Raw genomic sequence first — 26,316 nt, 5'->3', positions numbered from 1 at the left:
CTAGATATCTTTGAAGAGATCTATGTTGGTTTTGATTTCTAATGTAAATATTTGTAATTCACCCAACAAAACTCACCTAGACTAGTATATTAATGTATTTATGAACTAAAATAAAGATGACAGTTTTTAAAAAAAAATTTGGAGGAGTGGGAGAGCAGGTGTCCCTTGTTGGCTTTGTGGGTAGCTCAGTGGTTTGCACCTGTGCAGCAGTGGTTTCTATTTTTTGTGTCATGATGGGTCCTTCCTAGTGACTACCTGTCCCAACCACTTGGGTTTATAGGTCCCCAAGATGAAGGGCCATGTCTCCTCCATCAGTTTAGGGGCTGCCAAGATCAGGAAACCTATTAAGTGCCACCAAGGGAGATAAATGACTAAGTGCTGTTCTTCCTCCACCTGAGTGGTGCCACTCGAGATAGGAGCCGCGCAAGCACCTGCATGCCCCCGCCCCCACACCCCCCACCCTCGCCCAGTGAGGACCACCTGCGCGGCCAGGACCGCGCTGACCCTGCCCTGTCTCCACAGGTTTCGGCATGACCACCCCCGCGACGGTGGGCGGGAAGGCCTTCCTCATCGCCTACGGGCTGTTCGGCTGCGCTGGGACCATCCTGTTCTTCAACCTCTTCCTGGAGCGCATCATCTCGCTGCTGGCCTTCATCATGCGCGCCTGCCGGGAGCGCCAGCTGCGCCGCAGCGGCCTGCTGCCCGCCACCTTCCGCCGCGGCTCCGCGCTCTCGGAGGCCGACAGCCTGGCGGGCTGGAAGCCCTCGGTGTACCACGTGCTGCTCATCCTGGGCCTGTTCGCCGTGCTGCTGTCCTGCTGCGCCTCGGCCATGTACACCAGCGTGGAGGGCTGGGACTACGTGGACTCGCTCTACTTCTGCTTCGTCACCTTCAGCACCATCGGCTTCGGGGACCTGGTGAGCAGCCAGCACGCCGCCTACCGGAACCAGGGGCTCTACCGCCTGGGCAACTTCCTCTTCATCCTGCTCGGCGTGTGCTGCATTTACTCGCTCTTCAACGTCATCTCCATCCTCATCAAGCAGGTGCTCAACTGGATGCTGCGCAAGCTGAGCTGCCGCTGCTGCGCGCGCTGCTGCCCGGCTCCTGGCGCGCCCCTGGCCCGGCGCAATGCCATCACCCCAGGCTCCCGGCTGCGCCGCCGCCTGGCCGCGCTCGGTGCCGACCCCGCGGCCCGCGACAGCGACGCCGAGGGCCGCCGCCTCTCGGGCGAGCTCATCTCCATGCGCGACCTCACGGCCTCCAACAAGGTGTCGCTGGCGCTGCTGCAGAAGCAGCTGTCGGAGACGGCCAACGGCTACCCGCGCAGCGTGTGCGTCAACACGCGCCAGAACGGCTTCTCGGGCGGCGTGGGCGCGCTGGGCATCATGAACAACCGGCTGGCCGAGACCAGCGCCTCCAGGTAGACCGCCCGTCCGCCCGCGCCGGGGACCCTCTCCAGGCCGCGGGGCCGCCGGGCGTGGTTTGCTTCTCTCAGTCACTGCTGGCGCTTTCTTAATCTTTATCCAATAAAATGAAACAAAAAAAATTTTTTTAAAGAAATACTATTTGGCCAGGCCTGATGTTATCAAGGGCAGGTTTTGGGGACGCCTGTGTTCCTTGTGAGTCCCCTCTTGGAGAACCGTGGCCCCCAGCAGATTCTCCTTCAGGGAGAGAAAACGTGGCCCCCCAGGCCCACACCCAGGGCATACCGCAGCGAGGAGGGTTTTGCAGACTGGCACTAAACCCCGTCCCCATGCACAGAAGCAGCCGGCAACCCCAAAGCATATGGTGCAACTTTTCGTGGCTCTGAATTACCTCCTCAGCATTTAGAATCCTGGCCCAGCCTAGCAGCTTCCTTCTGGTCGTCAGAAGTGATATAGTCACAGTTTTGACAGGTGGGGGTTGGGACAGCCATATGTTGCCTCCCGATGTATATATATAGAACAGCCACTACACACAGAGAATGGTGTAGTATTATGCAATGAGATGAAACATAGCACCAACTTGCGGACTGTGGCATTTCCCCCAGATTTGGAAATTGCAGTGGTGAGGGGCTTAGCTGGCCTTTCTCAGCTCAGAGTTAGTCCATTTAGCACAGAGCACAGGGCAGCTACTTCTAATGGTGGGCGGTCCAGGGCACCTGTGAGGAGGGGAGCGGTGAGGCTGCAGGAGCCCTGCTGGGCTTTTAGCTGGCTGATCTCCAGGCTCGGATCGGCAGATCTTGAATCCCCCAACCGTCCTTTCTTTCACAAGCTCATCCACAGCAGTGCTTTTCAATATTAACCAGGAATATCTGAGTCTTCTCAGACAAGATATTTATTTGTTGGTGTGGATTTTTTTTTTCTTAACTACTGTTGATCAGTTCAACTTTTCCCCCTTTAAGAGATCATGGGGTTGCCGGGCGCAGCCCTCCAGCTTCTCCTCCTCCTCCTCTGAAGGAGGCACCTCTGCCAGCTGCGTCCTTGGGAACCAGGGCCTGCAGCACCAGGAACCCAAAAGAAGCCATCTTGCAAATGTCAGGGTATTTGGCTCCAGAGGCCATGATGTGTTTGGGGTCAGGAAAGATAGAATCCCTTTCTAAATATTGTTTATCAAGAGGATTTGTCTTCTCCATGCACAGCCTATTGGAGGCAGAGGAAGGCAGGAGGGAGGTAGCTGGTGAAACTGGTGGATGGAAGTAATGTTAGGATTACAGTTTTGCTCTCGGGCTGAGGGACAGATTCTCCCAGACTTGCCTTCTGCAGCATAGGGGGTCCCTGACCTGGAGGAAGGCCAGATACCCAGGCTTCATTGAAAGGATAGTGGTCTGGGGGTGTAAACGAACACTCTCTCTGCCCATTTTTCTCATATATGATGAGGGCAAGGACAGGTGCCAGAGTTTATACAGGCACGGCGTGACCCACCAGTATGCACAGCTTCTGATAGGAAGTCTTAGAAAAGCACCGCCTCACCGCCTCCAGCTGGAGCCATGCTGTGAAATCTCTCTCCCTGGCAAATGTGCGTGGAACACACACACACACAAACATGCACGCATGCGCTCACGCACCCAGCATTAGAGTCAAACTTGAATGTCAAACTCTTCTTTCCCCTTCTAGTTCATGGCAGGAAGGGAAAGCTTACCTGAGATCTCAGTGACTCTCCAGCTATTTTGGGTAATTTCTGATTTGAGTTGGGATTGGTTTTTAAACACAGGCCCTAATCTGGGGTGAAGCCAGTGAAGCAGCGCTGGCCAGGAGAGACGTCAGTCTTGCTAAATCCTGAAGGTGGGTTCCTGTGAAAACCATGCTTTCAGGATTCACTGTGACTGTCAGGCCAGCCCAGTGAGTGCCCCCCATCCAACCCATGGTTGCGGTCACAGTGAAGGGATTGCCCACGCAGGGGCGCACGTGTTCTCTAGGGCAGGGCCCTCTGACAGGACCTGGAAATAAAATCCACATTTATCCCTTTAAAAAAGGGAACGATTAAAAGGCATCCAATTAGAGGTGTTACCTAGGCAACAGGAAATAACTTGGGGATCAGAGCCATCCAGAGAGGGAAGAAGAGATCCCCATGATAGAGGCATCTAGACAGTGAGGACTTGATCTGCGGGCAAAATAACAGCCTACCCACAGGAAGTGAGCCCCAGCAACAGTACAGCAGCCTAAAACCCAGGCATCAAGACTGTGTGAGCTAGACAGGTCTAAAGAAACCTCCAGGCAATCCCCCGCCCAGCGTGCAGGACTACACAGAATCGTGGTCTCCATGGGAGGAACCAGGACCCACCTCCAGAGAAGAAAAACTCAAAATGTTTCTTGGCAGTCTTCTCTGTTGGCGGTGCTTCCTAGACTCTATCCTAAGTTGCTTATGCTGCAGCCTCAGCTGTTTTTACTTGTTTTCCTATGCTTTGGTTTTGGAAAGAGGCAATTGGAGGCAGCTTGAGCAATCTTCTAAAGGAATGGTAAGCATGGTTTCAAGGGGCAGGAAAATGAGACCCTTCCTCTTCCCACCTCCCAACTTCCCAGAGAAACGCCAGTCCTCCAAGGTACAATGGCAGCTCAGGATCCAGTGGCACATGTGTATTTTTGCCTATGTTCCCCTGTCCCCATCCCCCAATCCAGTCTCAGTCACACTGCCATGATACATCACACCATCATCCTTCATCTCAGGCCAAAGGGCTCAGCGCCCCAGACGACAGGGACTGCTTCCCTGAAGCAGGGATGTGGTTCTCCCATCATTTCAGGAACAGTGACATTGATAGGGATGCCTTTCTTTGGTGCAGGTTCTTCTGAACCTCAGGCCAAGAAAGAGCTCCATTCCCTCAGATGCTGTGGCCTCTCTCACTGTCTTGGGGGTCTCCAGTTTGCACACCACTGGTAGCTCACTGTAGCCTACAATTTCCTCATGCTCCAGGATTTGCTTCCTAACCTTAGGCCTGGACTTACCCATCATGCCGGTGCTGTGGGGCTCCCTTAAAGTTTGAATGAACTCCAAGAGGCCCTCACCATATGACTGTGGCCACAGAGAATCCAGAGTCTTGGCTAGCAGCCTTCTCAGAGCTGAGGAGAAAGGTAAAGAAGCCACCCTGGGTGTCCTAGCTTGCTAAAGCCAGGTGGTCAGGCCTTTGTGTCCTCTGAATGAAGCAGTGCCTCCAGGCCTGGAGAAGGCATCAGAAGGCTTAGGCAATCTCAGGCTCTCATTTTGTGGAAAATGCCAGACAGCCCTGGGCATTTGCACAGCATCATGCATATATGTATATATATATACACACACACATACACACCAGCCTTACAAAGAGCTACTAACCCTTTTCCCCAAGGAAAAGTCTCAGTCTGGGCCACTTTAAGAAGAAAGATTTCCCATTTTTAACTCTCTAGAGATGTACCAGGGCCTGGAAAATCCCTCTCTGCCTTGGGGGAGTTTTATGTACAATTTGCATGTATTCAGGTTTCACACAGAAGCCAGCATCCAAACCCAAGCCAAACCCTGGAAAATAGCTGCTAAATTGACCCAGGATCCTCCGTCCTTCAGACAGGCCTCCCAGCAGACCCCCTCTTCCTGTGGACTCTGGGGTGAGGGATGACTGAGCCCTCATGGCCAAAGGAGAAGCTTCTGGGGAACTGAGGCAGACGGCAGCCCAGTCAGGCAGAGACCATAGGAGCGACGGGCCCTGTGGTTCGATCTTACTGTAACTTTTTACATTCTTAAAAAACAAAAAGCACAATTCCACATACACACTGTCTGGAAAGCACAGCCAGACAGCCAGCCTAGGGCATCTGAGTCCAGAAGAGGCGCTGGGGCTTTATCTGTTGCAGGGTTCTTGTATTGTTGTATAATGTGCTGGTGGTGACTCAAGGCTCCTCACTTTGTAGGGTGGAGAGGGAGGGAGGGAGGGCCTGCTGAGGCCATTCCTGACCCCCAGGGTGGGCTCATCAGCATGGACTTGGGGCCTGGACTCTTGCCCCTGAAGCAGCTCTGGCACTTTCAGGCACCCCAGAGCACAATTGCTACACCTTCCACGCTAGTCTCATGCATTGAGGATTTCTGCACTCGGACCTGGCCCCAAACCCTCTTCCCCTTCCCCTTCTTCCCTAAGGAAGCTCCCCCTTGCTTTACAAATCATTTTTTATGCTATCTGTTCTCTCAGGAGGGGGCTAGAGCATGCGGGACAAGCCTGCAGGGTTTCTCAAACAATACATCTATTTTTCTGAGCAGCATTCCAAGAGAGGACTTGAAGGGTGTTTAAATTAACGATGAATAAAATGCAGCCTGCCACCCCTCTGAGCTGTTTGCTTTCTGTCTGTCAGAGCCGCCTGCCTCCCCATCTTCCAGTTCACACCTCCTCTCAGGAGGGCCCGGGGGACTTCACTGTTAGGATGGGGCCCAGTGGCAGCATCACTGGGAAGTTGCTCTACAAAACAACAGTGAAACAGAGCCCAGGGCACCAAGGGACCTCCTGGGCAGCTTGGCCAGGCTGAGCCAAGGCTGGGGGACTGGGAGATGGATCCAACCTGGCTGTGCCCGAGGCTCTCCAAATGGAGCTTTAAAGGATCCCGAGGCCCGGGCCGTACTCCCAGGAGTCTGATTTCATTGGTCTAAGGAGCAACTCAGGCCAGTCCTGGAATTTTTTGGGGGGATTCTAATGGGCAGTCATGGACTTGAATACACCCTGTAAACACAGAACACTCACATTATGGTGGTGTAGAAAGAGCGTCCACTTAGAAACTAGGAGGTCTGAATTCTAGTTTTGGATCTGGCAGTCATTTAGCTCACTCTGATCCTGTTTCCTCATCTCTAAAGTGGGATGATGATACCATCCCCCCACCTCCCAGCGGTCTTACGAGAAATAAGTGAGGGGCTAGGAACTCCGAAAAGTGTAAAGTCCTCCACAATTGCAAGATGTCACAATTATAAGAGGCATTTCATGAGGATATGGGACCAGGCTGCCCTATTGCTTCTGCATGGGGTCCTTCCCACAGTGTCAGCTGGGGATGAAGTTCTTCCAGCAGATTGCTTTTGCCTGGGTTGGCTTTGCAAACCCCTTCTTTTCAGAAGCAGCTTACTTGCCCTAATAATAGTGCAAACTCTACTGAGGCCTTCTCTCCCCTCCACATCCCCCTCCTTCTTTTCCTTCAATTTTCCCTAGAAATGAGAAGTAATTGACCATCAGGCTCACACTGGCCCCACCCACCTCTGTCTATACGATCACTCCCCACTCCCCTGGGCTCCCCACCCTGTTGAGCATGACCACTCAGAAGCACAAGCTCCATCTTTTATCTACAGCAGGGACTTTCATGACATCAAATGATAAAACAAGAAGTTTTCTACAACTATACTGTACAGATCATGCACTATTTTCCATTCTGGTATTGTTTTGTTTTGTCTTGTTTTAACCCATTTATGCTGGAGGTTGCAAATTTTTTGTGTAAAAAATCAGATTTTGGCGATGACCTTAAGCAGTAGGATGTAAATAACTCTCACAGACTTAGTGTTCCAATAAGGGAACGCTAGGCATAAATAGGTTAATGCTGGTCAAAGCTATTAAACTGATTTCATGATCTGCCTATGAATTACACCCAGCAATCTGAGAAACACTGGCTTACAGTGTTTCTGGAAAGAGGCCTTCCTGTTAGCTTCCAGCCAAGACCCATTAGCTAGGCTGCCGTGGCGGAGAGGCCTGATTTCTCGTCACCCATCAGCTCTCCTCTCTGTTGGGGTCTCCAGCTGTGCCCCAGCTATGTGATGGGCACAGGTGGCTGTTTTACCTGCATAAAGTAGCCTAGATGATCCTTGGGTTCCTTTCAAGTTCTAAGGCCTGTGATTCCTATAACATTTCATATGACACTCCAGTGATCCCTGGATGGACTGCCATTCCTCTCCCTTCTGTGGCCAGTTACCTTTCTATGAGTGTATCTAACAAGCAGATTTTAAAAAGGAACTTTTAGCTGGGCATGGTGGCTCATGTCTATAATCCCAGCACTTTGGGAGGCTGAGACAAGTGGATCACTTTAGCCTAGGAGTTCGAGACCAGCCTAGGCAACATGTCGAAACCCTGTCTTTACTAAAAATACAAAAAATTAGCCAGTCATGGTGGTGCACGCCTGGAGTCCAAGAGACTCAGGGGGCTGAGGTGGGAGGATCGCCTGAGCCCAGGAAGTCGATGTTTCATTGAGCCATGATCATGCCACTGCACTCCAGCCTTGGTGACAGAGTAAGACCCTGTCTCAAAAAGAAAGAAAAAAAAAAAAGAAAAAGGAAGAAAAGAAAAAAGAACTTTATATTTACCAAGCCAGACCCCCAGATAAGAGACTTGCATATTTATCTTATTTAATCCCCTGGCCAATCTTGGAAATTTGGCACTTTCCTCCCATTTTGTCTTGGGTCAGAGAGGTCAAGTAACTCGTCTAGTTTGGGGTCAGGCATCCCCTGTGTTAGGGGCTGGAGAGACAAGGGTGAGAAAGACAGGACCGCCCTTGATGTCCCTGGACTCCAGGCTCCTGGAGGCTGACGGGGGCAGGGCGCTGCAGTACGGCCTGCTGAGGGCTCCCTGTCCACCAGGCATTCTGGGCTGCCATGGGCACACCAAAGAGAGGCAGCCACCCAGCCTGGGTAGGCAGAGAAGGCTCTCAGAAGCAGCTGTCCATGCTGAGCCTGAGAGCAGCAAGCCTGCTGACAAGGAGCAGGAAGAGTGGCCCAGGCAGAGGAGCAGTGTGTGGGAAGAACAGAGCAGGGCCTTGTTGGGGGAACTGTGTGTAGTTCTGCAGGACTGGAGCATGCAGAGCAAGGGAGGTAATGAGGGGGCCAGATAGCGAAGGGCCTTGTAAAACAAAGCAAAGACTTTTCGCCTAATCCTGAGGACACTGGCAAGCCAGTGGAGGGGTTTTAAGGATGCGTGTGCTGCCGAAAATGACTCAGAATGCAGGAGTGGAGGAGGAAAGCAGATGGCAGGGTGGACCAAGGTAGTGCTAGTGAGAACACAGAGACGTGGAGAGATTTGAGGGACACCCGAAAGAGTAGGTCCACAGAATCAATGATTTGCCTGGATGGGGATGATAAGACTGAGAGAGAGGAATTGGGACGGAGCCAGGTCTCAGGCTAAGCAGCCAGGTAGACAGTGGTGCCACCACTGAGCCTGGGAACCCAGGAGGAGGAACAGAAGAGGTGATGAGTTCAATGAAGGAGAAGTTGGACTTCAGGGACCCATGAGATAACCATGGGGGAGGGGTTCCCACCAAGCAATTGGCCTTGTGAGTCTAGAGCTCATAACAATGACCCAGGCTAGACCAACATTTTGGAAGTTCTCAGCATCAAGATGGTGTGAATTACTCAGGCTGTGAGTGTGTAGAATGAGATAAAAAGAGGATCACAACCAGCATTTAAGGGACAGGAGGAAGAAGAAAAAAGACTAAGGAAAGAGGGTCAGAGATATGGGAGAAAACCAAGAGCACAGGATGCCACAAAGCCAAGGGAAACAAGGGTTTCAAGAAGGAATAAGTGCCAAGTGCCACTGAGTGATTAAGACAAGGACTGAAGAAAACACCCACAAGATTTAGCAAAGGGAAATATCAGTGACCTTGGCAGAAGCAGCCGCAGGGGAGTGTGAGCTTCTTTGGAACTGGTGCTGCCTGGCTAATTTTCATGGGTCACACATTAGGGATACAAGTTAGGATACAGATTCAAGCCACTCTAACAGAGGTTCAAAATAATACTGGCTTCCGTTGGTAAAAGTTCATGTCTCTCTCTTAAGAGTGAGTGCAAGCATAATCTATGTAGTATCAGACACTTCTATCTGTACCTATCACTTGTGTTCCCTTGCCACTGGCCAGAACTTTGTCACATGACCTAATATAGCTGCAAGATAATCAGGAAAAGTGGCCATGAACCAAGCAAGGCTGGTACTCCCAAGAAGAGTGTTGTTCATCTCATGTTCAGGCCACTGAGGGGACATTATGCAGCTGCAGTGGGACCTCTGAGGGGTGACAATGAGGGTAGTATGATAGCTACCTGTTGATAGTGGATTGATTTAGACTTCAGCTGGAAACAGGAAGTGAGTCCCTTCCTCTTTCCTCCCTCTTCCTGCCCTCCCCAACCAACAGGCTCTCCCAGTGGTAAACCTGTTTGGAAGGAATCCAACAAGGAGTTCTGGGAAATGTAGTTTGCTCAGCAATGCAGAGCAGAGTTCAGAGGCAGTGGGTGTACAAGGGCACATCATCCCATTAGCACACTTTAGCCATTGTGAAGTTCCCAGAAGGCGCTTTCTCACTGTAAGTCCTGGAATCTGGGCAGAGAAAGTTATATTCCTGACCCCTTTCTGGTCCATTTTTGAGAGCTTCCTGCTCCATTTTGAGGGAAATGTTTACAGAAGGGATGTTTGTAGAATTACAAATGAAAAACTTAACCAGAAGGCAACAGACACCAGGTCATGAGAGCTCACCACTGCCCTGGTTCTGTCTCTCTGGCCGACTGCAAGCAGATCTCTTTCCCCCACGAAGTTTCCTTTTCCATGTCAGCAAAATGAGGCACTGGTCTTTTGGCTCTGTCACTCTGAGGTTCTGAAAGGAAGGAGAAGAGAGGAGAAAATGTAGGAGTTCCACGGGGATTTCCATCAAGAACGATACTCAGCAAACATCTGCAGAGTACCTGACCCAGCTTAGACAGTTTGTTCAATTCTTTTTTCTCCATGGACTGGGAGGAGCAGGACCAGCCATCTGGATGCAGGATGGAAAGAAATGTCCTCCACTAAGGACTGGCCAGGTTCCTGCTGAAGGTGCAGCTTCAACACACATACCCCACCCCATGAGAAACTTCATGAGCTCCAGATCCTCGTTTTCATTTGTTTCTGCTTCCCCAAGGACAAGTAAAGTACCATTCTCCAGAACTGCACAGTCCAATAGGCAGCCACAAGCCACACACAGCTATTTAAATGTAAGTGAATTTAAACTACATTTTCAGCTCGTCAATTGCACTAACCCCATTTCAAGTGTTCAATAGCCACATGTAACTTGTGGCTACCATATTGGATAGCACAGATATAGAACATTTCTGTCACTGCAGAAAAGTCTACAACGCAGGGCTGCTCTAATGAGAGCTCTGGGATCCGAAAGCCTGAATTCCAGGGCATCCTTAAGGGGCAGAAGTAAAAGGCCTTCCCCAACCATCATGCCCCACTGTGGTCTCCTCTGCCTCCAAGTGGCCTTGTCTTCCTCATCCCCTATGGAAAGACCCCCACCTGCTGTTCACCGTGCACCCATCCCTCTCCCACCCCCAGGGCAAAAGCATTTGGTTACCCTGTGATGTCACACCTGTGCGGGTAACGTCATGCACTGTGGGCATCTCTCTGTAATATGGAAGCCCCTCCCACCACAGACACCACAGATGCTGGGGTTCTGGACAGATTTCTTTAGAATACATGTATTTGCACACATGAGAGCATTGGTCCAAATACATATATGCAGGCGCAGGCACACAAATATTTATATTAAAAGCCTAATTCCACAAATGGCTGTAATTAAGACACAAAGCAAAACCTCATGAGGTTGCTCCCTTCAACTCACACATTTACTCTGCCATGCTCTGGCAGCAGGGGAACAAAAAATGGAAGATTTGCTTGACTCTGCAGACAGAGGGAAATGAGGCTCAGTAAGGAGGCCACACAGCAATTCACTAGCTAATTCAAGCAAAAGCCAGATATCCTTCCTGCTAGCCCACAGCTCTGTCCTGTCCATTCGTTTGGTATTGTATTCATTCACTCAACAAACATATGTGAGAACCTACGGTGTGCATGCTCTGTACTGGGCCACACAGAGATTACACAGTCAATGAGACATGAATCTGGCCCTCTATGGTCTAGGAGCTAGGACATGTTGGTTGCCAACTATAGAAGCAGGGATATCACAGTCATACCACCAGGGGCAGGCTCAGAGAAGTCCCGGAGAGGCTGCTTCAGATCTGAGTCCCATGCCAAGCACTAGGCTGCTCTGTGCTTCACCCAGCTGTACTTCTCCGGCCCTTCATTCCTTTTCTATCTTCAACCTGGCAAAGAATAAGCTATTCTTCATTTATTCTGGGCAGCCAGTTAATATTAATACCAGGGTTAATAGACCTGTTTCTCCTGTACACCATCTTGTCTGCTCCTCTACCTAAAATTGCCCTAAGATAAGTTCTAAAAATCCTTCTTCTCGTGGGCAGGTCACAGTGCTGCTGTGTTCCACTGAATAGAGATAAACGACGAGAGTTGGTCATATTCATAGCTGACCAAATACGTGCGGTGAGAGTGTAGGGGTGTTGAGATAGCCCCCAGGGCAGATCCTGGAGCCTTGACTTTTGTGTACCCAGGATGCTTTCCTGTCCCCTTCTTCTAGGGACACTATCTCTGTTCTTTTAGATAACTCCACCCATCTCCATGCAGTCTAGTGGAACTGCCAATCACAGGGTCCCTCCTGTATCAGTTATGAAAGCATTCAACTGTAATGAACAGAAAACCCATTGAAGGGTAGTTTTAAGGAATAAAAATCAAGGTTTATTTCATTACCATAACCAGAACTCTGGAGCAGGTGGTCTGGGGCTAGCGCAGTGACAGTGATGCCATCGGTAAGGCTGGCTCCTCCTTCCCGCTCTGCCATCCTTTCCATGTTGGCTTGCCACCCCAGGTGCCAGATGGTAGCTACCCCTCCAAGGCTCACATCCATGTTACTAGTAGCAAGAAGTAGCAGGGAGAAGGTAAAAAATGCTCTCTCCCAACAGGACTTTTCCTAGACCTCCCTAGGACTTTCTGCTGCATCTCATTGACCAGAAGAGAGTCACATGATCGTCACCACCTATAAGGGAGGGAGGGAGAGAGTGTTGTGCTTTCAGTCCTCTGTACAAGAGGACAGCAAGGGGGAGGGGATTGGGATGGGTGTGAAGTGAGAATGCCTACAGTTCCTGCTGCCTCCCCATCAAGGCTGGATTAATCACGGTTCCGCATTCTCAGAGAAACAGCCATTGATCTAAGGGAGGGTGCATGCCTCAGGTTGGGGAGTGGGGGGGAAGTCCCCTGGCCTTACACAAATTGGAGGGGGTGGAGTAGCCCTTTCTTGTCTTGGTTTATAAATTAGGCCTGGCGGCATGAGTCAGGGTCAAGTTAATGCAATAGAATCCAGTCCAGCTGATTTAAGCAGAAAAAGACCTATCATTGGCAATCAACTCCAACCTGGCCACCTAGCTCTCTGACACTGATGACCTGACTGGGTGACAGAATCGTGACTCCAGCACGTCATGCCACAGTCCTCGGACAGGGTCTTATGTGCTAAGGAGAGACACCTGGACACCACAATCCTGCACCAGGTACCATCTGCACACAGCAGGCCACCTCCAGCCAGCTAATGCTGATACAACTGACGTGTTGGCAGCCAGCTGACATCAGAGACTGTGGTTTCCTGCTATGGGACAGAGAATTTGCAATCTGTTGGTTTTCAAAGACCTACCCCATTTCACCTCCCCCATCTCATCCTGAACAACCTTCCAAGACCCTGGCCTGAATCAGGTTTCCTGTTTGGCAATAAAACTTTTTCACTCAGTGCTCAATGTTTGGTCTTTAATGGCCTTTATTTTCTCTTTAACTTGGACTGTTAAATGCACCCCCACCCCTGGGAAGCCTGAAGAGACTCTAGGGTTGAGCTCTAGTTTGAGCTCTGGGATTAACTCTCAGGAGAGACACACCCACAGAACTAGGTCACTGAGAGGGTTGCTGTCTCTCTGATCAAGAAATAGCCTTTTTCAGATGCCACCATGATAAAGTCACTCCAGGAAAAACAGAACCCCTCACTTGCCAGCAAAAAAAACCAGCAGAAGCATGGGCTCCTTCTCCAATCTGCTTTTGAAAATCTTGCTAAAGTGCATCTAATGTGTAGAATCTAACTCTCATCCAGATTGGTAGCTGCAAGAGAGGCTGGGAAATGTGGTTTTCAGTCTTTTAGCCTCAACAGTACAGGATAGCCCTCTAGAAGGAGGGTAGAAGAGATGCTCAGTGCCTGTCTACCACATCCTCCCTGCTGGGCTGCCAATCAGCTGCTGTCCTCTGCCACAGGCAGCATCTGCCTACTTGAAGGGAGAAGGAGGCCACTGTGCCAAGGGAAGCAGAGGCAGGGCATCTGCCTGGTCCTGAGCCCCCGCTGCGTTCCCTGCAGCCAGGCACCTGCAGTTCTTCCCCCAAGTGTAGGAGTTTCCTCAGCTTTCTTCCCACCAGTTCAAACCAGCAATTTCCCCCTTTGCCTACTGGCTGAGTTAGGTTTACTTGCAACTGAAAAAATCTGGACTAACTGTCCCCTTACCCAAAATGATTTCCTTTTTCAATCCCTGGGGGCTGAACTGCCTTTCACAGTGACAGTAACTTTCACAGAAAAGTTCAGTCTTGGAATGCAGACACCTCCAGGAGAGAGGTTACAATAACATATTCACACCAAAGTGTAAATGAGGTACAGGGAGCCTTGCCTGAGACTGGCTTCTGCTGGAGCAGAGGGAGGGGAAAGTCTTGGCTCCTGGGAGACAGAGATGGGAACCCCACCAAACGAGATAAAGTTCCCAGAAAAAGCAACGCCATACATCAACTTTGCTAACTTTTGCCTTCAGAGGATGGAGGCTGAACATAAGCCGTAACATGCTTTCCCTTAAAAACAAGTTTTCTGCCATTCCCGCTTACATTTCTAACAAATGCTCAGTCTCCAGTGTTGATTTAATGTTTATGTGACAGGGTCTCTGCCAGCCCAACTTCTAATATTATTCACCAAACACCCCAACATTTCACAGCAGTCCCTCAATCTGTCTCCGTCTTCTGGGTTCCAACTTCCCTTGATTCTCTTCTAAGCACCAGATCTTGGGGCAAGAGAGTGGGAGGGAGGTTTCTACTGGCTAGAGAGTCCAAGAGAGAGTCGCTGTTTTCGAAACTTGGAACGTTCGCTTCTCCCCACCCCACATATCCTCACCCTCGCCCTCCCTAATAAGGAATTTTCCTTCTCATTGGCTAAAAAATCAAAACAATAAAAAGGAAAAAAATCTTATTGTGACAATGTTTTATTCCTACACAAGTTAACAGGAAGGATGCAAAAGCACTGGAGGCTGGCCAGGTGGAGGCTCACGCCTGTACCCCCAGCACTTCAGGAGGCCAAAGTGGGAGGACTGCTTGGGCCCAGGAGTTCAAGACCAGCCTGGACAACGTATCAAGACCTCATCTCTACAAAAAATTTAAAAATTAGCCAGGCATGGTGGCACATGCCTGTGGTCCCAGGTACTCACTTGGGAGGCTGAGACAGGAGAATTGCTTGAACCCGGGAGGTGGAGGCTGCAGTGAGCCATGATCACACCATGGTACTCCAGCCTAGGACACAGAGCAAGACCCGGTATCCCTTTTATTTTATTTATTTATTTTTTTTTTGAGATAGAGTCTTGTTCTGTTACCCAGGCTAGAGTGCAGTAGTGCAATCTCGGCTCACTGCAACTTCCACCTGCCAGGTTCAAGCGATTCTCCTGCCTCAGCCTCCTGAGTAGCTGGGATTACAGGCATCTGCCACCATGCCTGGCAAATTTTTGTGTTTTTAGTAGAGATGGGTTTCACAGTGTTGCCCAGCCTGGTCTTGAACTCCTGGCCTCATGTGATGTACCCACCTCAGCCTCCTAAAGTGCTGGGATTACAGGTATGAGCCACTGTGCCCAACTGCGAGACCCAGTCTTAAGAAGAGAGAGAGAGAAAGGAGAGAGAGAGAGAGAGGGAGAGAGAGGGAGGGAGAGAGAGAGAGAGAGAGAGAGAGAGAGAGGGAGGGAGGGAGGGAGGGAGGGAGAGAGAGAGAGAGAGAGAAAGAAAGAGAAAGAAAGAAAGAAAGTAAAGAGAGAAAGAAATCTAAAAGAAAGCACTAGAGGTGGAATCAAGTTTCTGGCCCCAAGAATTCTAAAGTCTAGTTGTCTCCTGGGTATTCCTCTTTGACTCCTTTCCCTGAAGGCATTAAGGCCCTCTCCCCTGCACCACCCCTACCTCTCTCCTCCTGAAGTCTGCAGGCAGCGGGCTTCCCTGCTCCTCTCTGTACCATGTCTATGGGTGCAGGCCTGGCTGCTCCTGCACCCATGTGCTTTAGGTGCTTCGCTCCCGCTAGAGAAACTCCAGAGAGATTTGCCACAGCTGCCACTGTACCCCAAAGGCAGTGGTAAAACAAGCCAGCTGGCCACAGAAGGAGCAAGCCAAGCTCCACTGGCATCTCCTCCCTGTTCTAGTTCACTCACTGTACACAAAGGAGGCTTTTTATATGGGAGAAGCCTGGATTGGAAGCAGATTTGCTGGGACCACAGCAAAAAGTGAAGACTGCTTGACTTTTTCGACCACACCAAGTCATAGCCTTGGAAAGCATTGCCTTGACCCCTATCCACAAAAGGGCGCTGCACTCCCACTGCTTGTAAGTTCCTTCTCTTCTAACATGTCCTCTCCATTACCGACTTCAAGGCCCAACACCAGGTGATCCAAGCCCACCTGGACAGTCCCACAGACAGTTGCCTGGAGAGTCATCCTGATCCACAGCATATTTGTATAAAGAAGAAATAAACCTCCTCAATGTTCCGCCACTGAGATCCGGGGATTATTTATTACTGCAGCTTAGCCTTGCCTATCCTGACTGATACACACCTGTTCACTTGCTGTTCTACAGCTGTTCTCATCATGGCTCCTGAGGGCTTATGCTTTCCCCTGGGAGCACAAAATCTCCCAAGGAACAAGGGCGACCATGTCTTCCCTTGGACAAGTCATCACCTTGCTGAAGATTGCTTTTCTCACTATAAGTGAGAGCTTAAAATGTCAGCACATATTTCATAAAGGTTTTGTGAGAATCAAAAGAGACAAATCATGGAAACAGCTCAGTTTTTCAAAGTTTTAAATCCCTTTACTCCCCATTTCTCCATCATCAACCCCTACCCCCATTGTTTCCAGTGCCCATGTTAGGGCTAGGCCACAAGCAGCTGAGAATAAAGTGACCAGCACATCACCTGTCTCAAATACTTGTACCCAGAAAGTATTCAAGGAAAAACCCTCAGGTGAATCAGAGGCTGCCTATAAGGTGAGATTTCACGGCATCTTCCCCCGGCTTCATCTCTCTCCCCAGTTTCATTTTTAAACTAACCCACTCTCCACCAGCTTCTTGATGCTGAAAGTTGGTAAGACAGCCTGCTATAGGATCTTTGAAACAACAGGAAGTTCAGGTCCAGACATCTTTTGTTAGAGGTCCCCAAGACCACCTTGGATTCAATGATTCACTAGAAAGACTCACAGAACTCAGAAAAGCTATTCTGCTTATAGTTGTAGATTACTACAGTGAAAGAATACAGATTAAAATTAACAAGGGAAAAAGGCGTACAGAGCAGAATCCAGGAGAAGCCAGGTGCAAGCTTCCAGTTATCCTCTCCCAGTGGATTCACGTGGACAGTGCTTAATTCTCCCAGTAATGATGTGACAACACATGTGAATGAAGTACAGATCCTCCTCCACTGGGTTATGTCCCAATAAACCCATTGTAGAGTGCAAAACTCACAAGTTGAACCACTGTAAGTTGGGACCAGCTGTATTGCTCACTTGAGCCTTGATGTTCAGGGTTTTTATTGGTGGTTGGTCACATAGGCCTGGAGCACCTGCATGACTGATCTTAGTTTCTCATTCTCTGTCCCTCTAGGGCTCAAACTGATACAATGTGGCCCAGGGCCCCAGGGGAACAAAGACAAGTGTTCATCATAAATCGCATTGTTAGCATACATTTTCTAGAGTGGTTCTAAGTTCAGCATTCAAAGATACTCTTTGAATACAAAGCAGGGTATTCTAAGGGCTTAGAGATTATTTCGGAGGCTCAGGCTGAGGGCCAGTCTTTTCTTCGGAATATGGGTGTGAGTACCTCAAGTCAGCTAAGCTAACCCTTTACTGCATACACTCGCACTCCACACAGTTCCTCGTCTGTAGGTAGCCTCTGCCTCCCCAGTTCATGCCAACAGAGGCCAGTAACCAAAGTGGACAAGAAGAGCAGTGGAAGACACAGCTGGTCTTGACTCCCTGCCCTTCCCACCAGAACAAGCACCAAAGTTCCCAGACCCAAAGACCCAACCTCCTTCCGCTTGGGGGTACCCAAAGGGCTGATGCGCTCTCCAGGTGGCTTGGTGTGCCTATGGAAGCCACATTGTGCCCCATCCCTTCTGCTTCATGAGTCTCCCTGGTGAGTGGGAGTGGCCCCGACACACATCTCTGTAACCACACTGTTGACCACACTCCACTTTCACCCCTCCACGCGTGTCTCATTTTCAGCTCTTTTGGGGGTTGGGGGAATTCTCTCCCCACCAATGCTACAGACCCTAATAGTGTCCCAAAAAGTGGGCCTGTCTTTCTTTCCAGCCCTCTTGCTCAAGGATCCAGGGCCAAACTGGGTCAAATGGCAATCAGGTGGCACTATACAGTGTCATACCCAAGAGTGCCTCTCCCCAGGGAACTCCAAGGTCTGATGCAAGTGCCACAAGTCATCGCAAGCTCACAAGAAGTTTCTTCTCCCCCTTGTCAACTCCCTGGTGGATGGGAAGGGGCAATCTCAGCCCTCCATCCTAGGCATGAGTTCCAGGGCCCAAGCACACACTCCAAGGCCCCCTCAAGGGTTCTTGCACAACCATGTACCAGACTGCCTAGTTCTTCCAGAGCCTGTCGAGAAGCAAGTGAGCCTCCCACAGGGAAGCAAGTGAAGCAGGGTTATACGAATCCATCCCCAGAAGATGACATATGTGAAAAAATCATGTCAACGATTGAAAGCCATACAAATAGAAATGAGGAGGATTCCTGAGATTTTTGCTGACAGAAATTTTCTCTCTACAATATGACTTGAAGTATAAATAACTGGGGAGGAAGGCGATTCTGTGGTTTCCACTTATACTACAATGCAAATGACTGGTAACGGAACTCTTGCAGAGGGCTGCTTATGGCCAGGCTGAGACAGAAAAAAGCCTCACTGGTACCTTGAGGCCATGGGGAGAGAGGGCTCCTGGTGAGAGGTGGGCAGGCAGTGCACAAAGGCTCACCCACATTGTGGCTTGTCAGAAGCCTGACCTGAGAGGACAGAGCGGTTAGGGTGGCTTGTTCCATCAGGAACGGGGCTGACCAACAGGGGCCTCACCTCCCAAGTCACCTAGACAAGGCTTTGTGAGAGAGAGGCCCGCAGCCCCGGGCTGACAGGCTTTGGGAACCAGGATGCTGCCAGCAAGGTGGACAATTGTGCTGGGGATTCGGCTTCCAAAACTGAATGACAGTTTGGGCTCCTGAACTCCTGGGCCCTCTCATTCCCCAGACCTGTCTTCTCTGATAGTGATGTCAGCTTGAAGCCAAGCCTGGCAAATGTGGCTCCTGGGAGCCCCCAGCTCCCACAGTGAGGCCTCTTCTCTCCCCTTCTCTAAAGCCTGCCCACCCCTCAACCCCCAGGTAGCTCCTGCTCTCAGCTCTTACACTCCAGAATAAGCACTGCGAAGGGTGTCATCTGCAGCCTGTGGGGGAGGCAAGGCTGGAAGACATGGGAGGGGAGAAGGGCCACAGCAGGCAGGGCCAAATGGCCTTGGCCTAGGCCCCACCTGCCCCAGCACACGGCGTTTTGGAATAGTTTTGCTGGGGGTTCAACCACAACTGTCCTCAAACTCCTCTCCAATGAAGGAGGGGAATGGGCTTTGGAGGCTGACAGTTGAGTCACCCAGGCCTTGAGGAGGCCAGCTCTTTCCTCAGCTCCTCCTGCAGATGCTCAGTCATGGCCGAGCCTGTTCCACTTTAATCTGCATCCACATGCTTTCTGACTCAATGTTTCTGGGAAACAACATCACAAAAATCAATGTTTTAGTGTCTACTTGGTGCTAGGCTGACTTTAAGAGTCTGGTAGTTCTTTCTATTCAGACTGATCTAGATGAGGGTCCCATTAAGCAAATTCTTTAACCTCTCTGAGAATCAGTTTCAACATCTTGAAATGGGGAAACAAGCAATCTACCTTATTGCATTGTTGTGAGGATTAACTAAAATGATTATAAAGTGCCAGACATACTGTCTAGCACACACATTCAGTGACTATCACTTCCTCTTTTTGCCTCCTCTCCCACAAGTTCAACCTTTCTTATGTGAACATGACCAGGGCCCATCCATCCATCCGTCCATCCATCCACTCATCCGTCCATCCATCCACCCATCCACTCATCCATCCATCCATCCATCCATTTATCCATCCATCCATCCATCCATCCATCCATCCATCCATCCACTCATCCATCCATCCATCCACTCATCCATCCATCCATCCATCCATTTATCCATCCATCCATCCATCCATCCATCCATCCATCCATCCATCCATACATCCATCCACCCATCCATCCATTTATCCATCCATCCACTCATCCACCCATCCATCCACTCATCCATCCATTCACTCACCTATCCATCCATTCAGTAATTCATCCATGTATTTATATTTTTTCATTTTTTGAATACATACTATGCACAAACTGCTGCAAGTTGTCCACAGAAGTGGAAATATATAATCTAGAAGCAAAAATTAACTATAAAGGCTATGGTATAAATAACTTGGCAAAAAGTGAAAAGTGTCATAAAAGAGGTACAGGGAAAATGTCAGGAGATTAAACACCCCGGGCCTCTCTTCAAGCCTCAGTTGAAGCCAACTGCCAGGATTACACTTTATTTGATAAAACATTTCTCTTTCCCTGATGAAGACCATCAGAATGTTTGTTTCCTTTTACACAGGAAGGTGACTCAAATTCTAATTATCCTAACCCAGGAAATGACTTTGTCTTGCCTTTCATTTTACTGTATTCAGCTCTTAGTTGCTCCACTGAGGACAATCTGCAGAGCCCAGGTTTCTTCCAAGATTTTAAATGGACCTTCCACGAGGGATTCTGAAACCCAAAAAATGAGCTAAATGAAGAGATGATAGATACATTACAGGAAGCCTCCTTGGGCCAGACATTCCCTACACAGTCATGTGCAGGTGAGTCAATCAGCTGAGAGCTCTTCAGTGTCAGCAGCCCACCTCCACCCCTTCAAAGACCCCTCTCTCTCCACCTCCTGGATCCTGCCCACATTTCAAGTCACCCCAGGAAGAATCGGGGGAAAAACATCTCCCAGTAAAAGTGCCTGACCAACAGTGTAGTTTGTAGCTGATGAAAGACAAAAATCTCACACCTTTTGTTGCCACAGTAAAAAACAACAATCCATCCATATGTTGAAACACTTGACTCACAGAACTCTCTGCAGGCTGCCACTCACCCCTGCAGGAGGAATTGACCACAAGGTTCCTGCAAAGATGTTGCTGAGAAAATGCTGCCAGTTGAGTTGTTTGGTGTGGTAGATTTAGAGACAGAAGACCCAACTCTGCCACTTCTCAAGTGTGTGAGTTTGGGTGAGTCCTTTTAGCTTTCTAAATCTCTGTGTAGGCAGGGCACAGTGGCTCACACCTGTACTCCCTGCACTTTGGGAGGTCAAGGTAGGAGGATCACTTGAGTCCAGGAGTTTGAGACCAGCCTGGCCAACATGGCAAAACCCCGTCTCTACGAAAAATACAAAAATTAGACAGGCATGGTGGCACATGCCTGTAGGCCCAGCTATTCAGGAGGCTGAGGCAGGAGAATCACACGAACACAGGAGGCAGAGGTGGCAGTGAGTCGAGATCGTGCCACTGCACTCCAGCCTGGGCAACAGAGCAAGACTCCATCTCAAAAGAAATAAAAATAGAAAAATAGGCCGGGCGCAGTGGCTTATGCCTGTAATTCCAGCACTTTGGGAGGTTGAGGCAGGTGGATTGCCTGAGGTCAGGAGTTTGAGACCAGCCTGGCTAACACGGTGAAACCCCATCTCTACTAAAAATACAAAAATTAGCCAGGCAAGGAGGTGCACGCCTGTAGTCCCAGCTACTTGGGAGGCTGAGGCAGGAGAACTGCTTGAACCCGGGAGGTGGAGGTTGCAGTGAGCTGAGATCACACCACTGCACTCTAGCCTGGTGACAGAGCAAGACTCCATCTCTGAAAAAAAAGTTAAAAATGAAAAATAAAAAATTAGCTGGATGTGGTGGCGTGTGCCTGTAGTCCGAGCTACTTGGCCGGCTGACGCGGGAGGATTGCTCGGGCCTGGGAGGTCGAGGCTGCAGTGAGCCATGACTGCACCACTGCACTCCAGCCTGGATGACAGAGGAGACTGTCTCAAAATAAATAAATAAATACATACATATATACATCTCTGTGTATTATCTTACTTGGCTGTGAGGACTTCACACACCTTGCCTACACAACCAGCTTGTCTGAGTGCCAGAGTGACAGTGATCGTGACTGTTCTGTGAGCCACTCCCAGGAGGTGAGGAGGCACAGTGGAAGCCAGTCCTCCTTCCTTCCATCGACTCAGTGTCCTTGAGTGAATAACTTTCCTTTTCTGAGCCTCCTTGTTCTTGTCTGTGAGCATTACCGGTTGTGTACAGATGAAATTAGATCATCCATGCAGAGTGTAGACCACAAACCAAGTGTGCAATAGATTTTAGTTCCCTTCTGAGAGATGTTTGCCGTCCTCACTCAGCAGAGCCTCCCTCAGCCGAGTTCAGGAGGCAAAGGATCTGCCTGGATCCCCAAGCTCAAAACAACAGAATATTGTTAGGTGCCCACTGCCTCTGATGCCTGCGGCTGATTCTGTTGCCGAAACACCAGGGCTTCAGTCTAGGTCCTGCTGCTCACCGCACAGAAAGCTGATCTCTGAGACAAGGAACATTGCTAGGGAAGAAGGCTTTATTTGGGTGCTGCAGCCAAGGAGATGGGAGATCAGTCTCAAATTGATCAGCTGGACCAGCTGAATTTAGGAGTTCATGTGGCAGGGAAGAATTGTAACTACATGTGGGAAAACAGGAATTAGGGAGAGGTAAGGAAAACGAGTTGGTCAAACAACAGATGGTTGCTTAGGCAATCATGATGCGTGAGGGGTCTGGTGTCTCATTGCCCTGATGTGGTGATCTGGTAAGTTTCAGTTCCTAATAACATCTGCCAGGCCTGAGGGTCAGTTTCCTGAGGAAGGAACTCAGATAAGACAAATGTAAGTTTCAACCTTTCAGAGCAGGAGGCTCCATTTCTACAGTCTATCAAAAAAAAAAAAACAAAAATAAAAACAAAAAAACAGTAAACATCAGTTCTATAGGACAACTGGGCCAGTTTCAGTTCCCACTTAGAAAGCCATCCAGGCTCAGCAGCTTCTGGGGCCTTGGAAATGATTTTCCAAAACCTTTCTCATTTCACTACACCATCAGTTGCAAATTGTGCTCCAATTCGGCAATCTCTTACAAGACATTAAAATCATTTCCCCACTTCTGGCCTTTGATGAGCAAAGGAACTTAGCTCTTCATACCTTAGTACAAGGAGATCCTCTTTTTCCCAGGACCATTGAGAGCTCCTGCAGTGCCTTAGCATGAAGTAGAACAAGGCACCCCTCTGAGCAGACAAACCACACACACCCTGGCATGTAGCAGCTTGCAGGCTGGAGTGCAGTTCCACTGGGCTACACGCTGGCCGCCCTCATCAAAGCACAGGGCACATTAACTCCCAACTCCCCATCCCACCTCCCCTCCTCATCACCACTGCCGTCATCATTGTGGCAGCAACTGACATTGGTTGAGGATTTGCTGGGAGCTGGACACTGTACTCAGCTTTCCTCATGCCTTCTCTCCTAGAATCCTCACAAGTCTCCTATAAAGAAATGTGCAGATGGCTGAGTGTGGTGGCTCATACCTGTAACCCCAGCACTTTGGGAGGCTGAGATGGGTGGATCACTTGAGATCAGGAGTTCAAGACCAGCCTAGCCAACATGGTGAAATCCCATCTCTACTAAAAATACAAAAATTAGCCAGGTGTGGTGGCATGTACCCCGTAGTTCCAGCTACTTGGGAAGCTGAGGCAGGAGAATCACTTGAACCAGGAGGCAAAGGTTGCAGTGAGCCAAGATCATGCCATTGCCCTCCAGCCTGGGCAACAGAGTGAGACTCTACCTAAAAAAAAATATATATGTGCAGACACAAGCTGTTTTCCTCAGACTGTCAACCCTTCACTTTTTTGGAGGGGGATATTTTATTTTATTGTTTTTGTTTGTTTTGGGACAGGGTCTCACTCTTGTCACCCAGGCTGGAGTTCAGTGGCATGATCACAGCTCACTGCAGCCTCAAATTTCTGGGCTCAGGTGATCCTCCTACCTCAGCCTCCCGAGTAGCTGGGACTACAGGTACACACCACCACACCCCATTAATTTTTGCATTTTTTGTAGAGGGTTTCACTATGTTGCCTGGGCTGTTCTTGAGCTCCTGGGCTCAAGTGATCTTCCTGCCTCAGTCTCCCAAAGTTCTGGGATTACAGGTGTGAGCCACCGTGCCCAGCCTGGAGGGGGGTATTGTTAAAGAAAAAATTATTCATGACACTTGTTATGGATAGTAAGGCAGACTACACAAGGGGAGCCATGGTCAGAGGAACAAGCTGCACTGCAGTGTGGTCTTGCAGTTGTGGGGAGAGATTGCACTCGATTCTGACTACAGCATGGGCAAGTGGGGACTTGCAGCCATGAAGCAGGGTGGAGGTCAGTGAATGGAAAATAACTGAGAGAAAACATCGGGGAGAGGGGAATCCTGTTAGACCAACCCAATAGGACTCTTGCTGAAGGCAGATCAGGCTGATAAGATGTAGACAGTGGTCAGATACCAAGGCTGGGGGCGTTTCCCTGCCCTGACTCGGCAGGATTCTTGCTCAAACTGAATTCTGCAAGGACATAGGCTGGGCCTGGTCAGGAAGGTCTCAGACGAGCCTCATTAAAGTTTTGGTCAAAGGAGAGTATCTGTCCCCACTTCCTCTTGGTTCGGGTAGAGTTGCCCTGGCGGTCTCTGCCTCTGGTCCAGGTGTCAGAATCCTTCTGGGATCTAAGGTGGCCCCTGAAGACAGAGGCCTTCTTTCCCTCTGAGAAAATACTGTAAGGGCCAGGCGCAGTGGCTCATGCCTGTAATCCCAGCACTTTGAAAGGCCAAGGCGGGCAGATCACCTGAGGTCAGGAGTTTGAGACCATCCTGGCCAACATGGCGAAACCCCGTCTCTACTAAAAGTACAAAAATTAGCCAGGCATGGTGGCAGGCGCCTGTAATCCCAGCTACTCAGGAGGCTGAGGCAGGAGAATTATTTGAACCCGGGAGGCAGAAGTTGCAGTGAGCCAAGATCGCACCACTGCACTCTAGCCGAGGCTACAGAGCAAGACTCTGTCCCCCCAAAAAAAAAAAAAATTAGCCGGGCATGGTGGTGTGTGCCTGTAATCCCAGCTACTCGGGAGGCTGAGGCAGGAGAATCACGTGAACTCAGGAGGCGGAGGTTGCAGTGAGCCGAGATCGTGCCACTGCACTCCAGCCCAGGTGACAGTGTGAGACTCCATCTCAAAAAAAAAAAAGAAAAGAAAAAGAAGATACTGTAAGGATCTGACCCTATTGCTTTCAGTGGCCACGTCCCCTGCCACATGAAGGAACCGAAAGACAAAGATGACACTCAGGATGAGAGAGGAAGCGAGGGAGGATGAGGCCGCATGCCCCCCTCCAGTTTTAGAACCCAGCTGGGCCTGGGATCAGCACCCCTAACCTCAGATGGTTCTTAGGGTAGAAGGTGGTATGGGTTGCATTTCTCTCACCTGAAAGCAAAAGAGTTCTGATTATTAGTAGATAGGTAAATTACATCGATTCGATTGTCACCCTCCTTCTACAAATGAGGTTAAAGGTCTGAGGTGCAGAGGCAGAGTAGGGACCCTTGGGTGAATTTATTTCATTCTACTTGAGCACCCATGCTGGATGCCGTACACATAGAACAGCACAGAAGTGGTTATTTTTCTCTTTGAAGCAACAACCTATGAAAGAGGCATAGTCACATGTTACTGATAGAACCTCACTTCGATCAAACCCACGCGTGCAAGGCTACATTTATGGTCTGCAAGAGCCCACAAAACAATCAGACTTGCCTTCAATAGTGGTGTCTTTGATGCATTTGGAATCTGAGTAGTTCACAGAACATGAGGCCCATTAGGAGTTGGTTGTCATGGGTTTTCATTCTGGCTCCATCAGTGCCTGAACCATCCAGGGACCCTTTGGTCACAGGCAACAGAAACTGCACTTATAGCATTTCTGGTATATAAAATTTGTTTGGTGTTTGTCTCCATTTCCTAGCACAGAGCTCCTAAAACCCTGAGAATTTCCTGAATGATGGAAGTGTATTTTCTTACTTATAATGAGCCCCTTTCAACTATACTTGAGTTTATGCTAATGAGGTGACCCTAGATAGCTTCAAGACAGGGTTTGGTAGCCAGAACTAACCCTGTGTGTAGAGGGTTGGAATTTTCAGCCCCACCCTCCAATCTCAAGAGAGAACAACCTCCTTGGCTCCTCCCACCTCCGCCTCCCAGGTAGCTGAGACCACAGGTTTGCATCACCATGACTGGTTAATTTTTTTTCTTTTTTGTCAAGATCGGGTCTTGCTATGTTGGCTAGCCTGGTCTCAAACTCCTGACCTCAAGCAATCCTCCTGCCTTAGCCTCCCAAAGTTCTGGGATTACACATGGGAGCCACCACACCTAGTCTGGAGTGTGAGTTCAATCACTAATGGCCAGTGATTTCATCAATCATGCCTACTTAATGGAATCTAAAAAAAAAAAAAAAAAATTCCCAAGCAAAGTTTCAGGGAGCTTACAGGTTGCTGAGCATGTCAAGGTGCTGGGAGGGTAATGCATCCCAAGAAGACATGGTAGTTCTGAGCCACCCCTACTCCCAT

General features: G+C 49.6%; 2 protein-coding genes across 45 annotated transcripts in view, besides 2 other annotated features; one reads left to right on the top strand and one right to left on the bottom strand.

Moving 5' to 3' along the window:
* KCNK12 (potassium two pore domain channel subfamily K member 12) overlaps positions 1-13,041 on the top strand; it is a 61,696-nt gene extending 48,655 nt beyond the window's left edge. Inside the window, exon 2 of the mRNA NM_022055.2 lies at positions 523-13,041. Coding sequence (NP_071338.1) covers positions 523-1,424 — 902 coding nt within the window. The 3' untranslated portion in view covers positions 1,425-13,041. The remainder of the gene's footprint in view (positions 1-522) is intronic.
* The window catches only part of MSH2 (mutS homolog 2), a 306,764-nt gene that overhangs the window by 187,500 nt on the left and 92,948 nt on the right, over positions 1-26,316 (bottom strand). For 32 of the 44 annotated variants that reach the window (NR_176244.1, NR_176248.1, NR_176245.1 and 29 more), the window contains one exon: positions 9,911-10,028. Coding sequence is in view for 22 of the 44 variants with exons in the window: in NM_001406637.1 (NP_001393566.1) it covers positions 9,911-10,028 (118 nt within the window). In the remaining 22 variants the exon portion in view is untranslated. Of the gene's footprint in view, positions 1-2,294; positions 10,029-11,379; positions 11,509-12,007; positions 12,294-26,316 lie in introns of those variants that run through there. The other 12 variants (NR_176240.1, NM_001406656.1, NM_001406669.1 and 9 more) reach the window with 4 other exon arrangements.
* Positions 1,123-1,392: a silencer, noted in NCBI's record as "silent region_11464". NCBI's record gives its function as "represses an Ori minimal core promoter by ATAC-STARR-seq in GM12878 lymphoblastoid cells {active_cell/tissue: GM12878}" and the evidence as "EXISTENCE:reporter gene assay evidence [ECO:0000049][PMID:35858748]".
* Positions 18,483-18,582: an enhancer, noted in NCBI's record as "active region_15734". NCBI's record gives its function as "activates an Ori minimal core promoter by ATAC-STARR-seq in GM12878 lymphoblastoid cells {active_cell/tissue: GM12878}" and the evidence as "EXISTENCE:reporter gene assay evidence [ECO:0000049][PMID:35858748]".

This window comes from Homo sapiens, chromosome 2 (genome assembly GCF_000001405.40).
Source record: "Homo sapiens chromosome 2, GRCh38.p14 Primary Assembly".
NCBI classification, from domain to species: domain Eukaryota; kingdom Metazoa; phylum Chordata; class Mammalia; order Primates; family Hominidae; genus Homo; species Homo sapiens.
The sequence above is the reverse complement of the archived record's forward strand: the minus strand, read 5'-3'. Positions and strand labels throughout refer to the sequence as shown.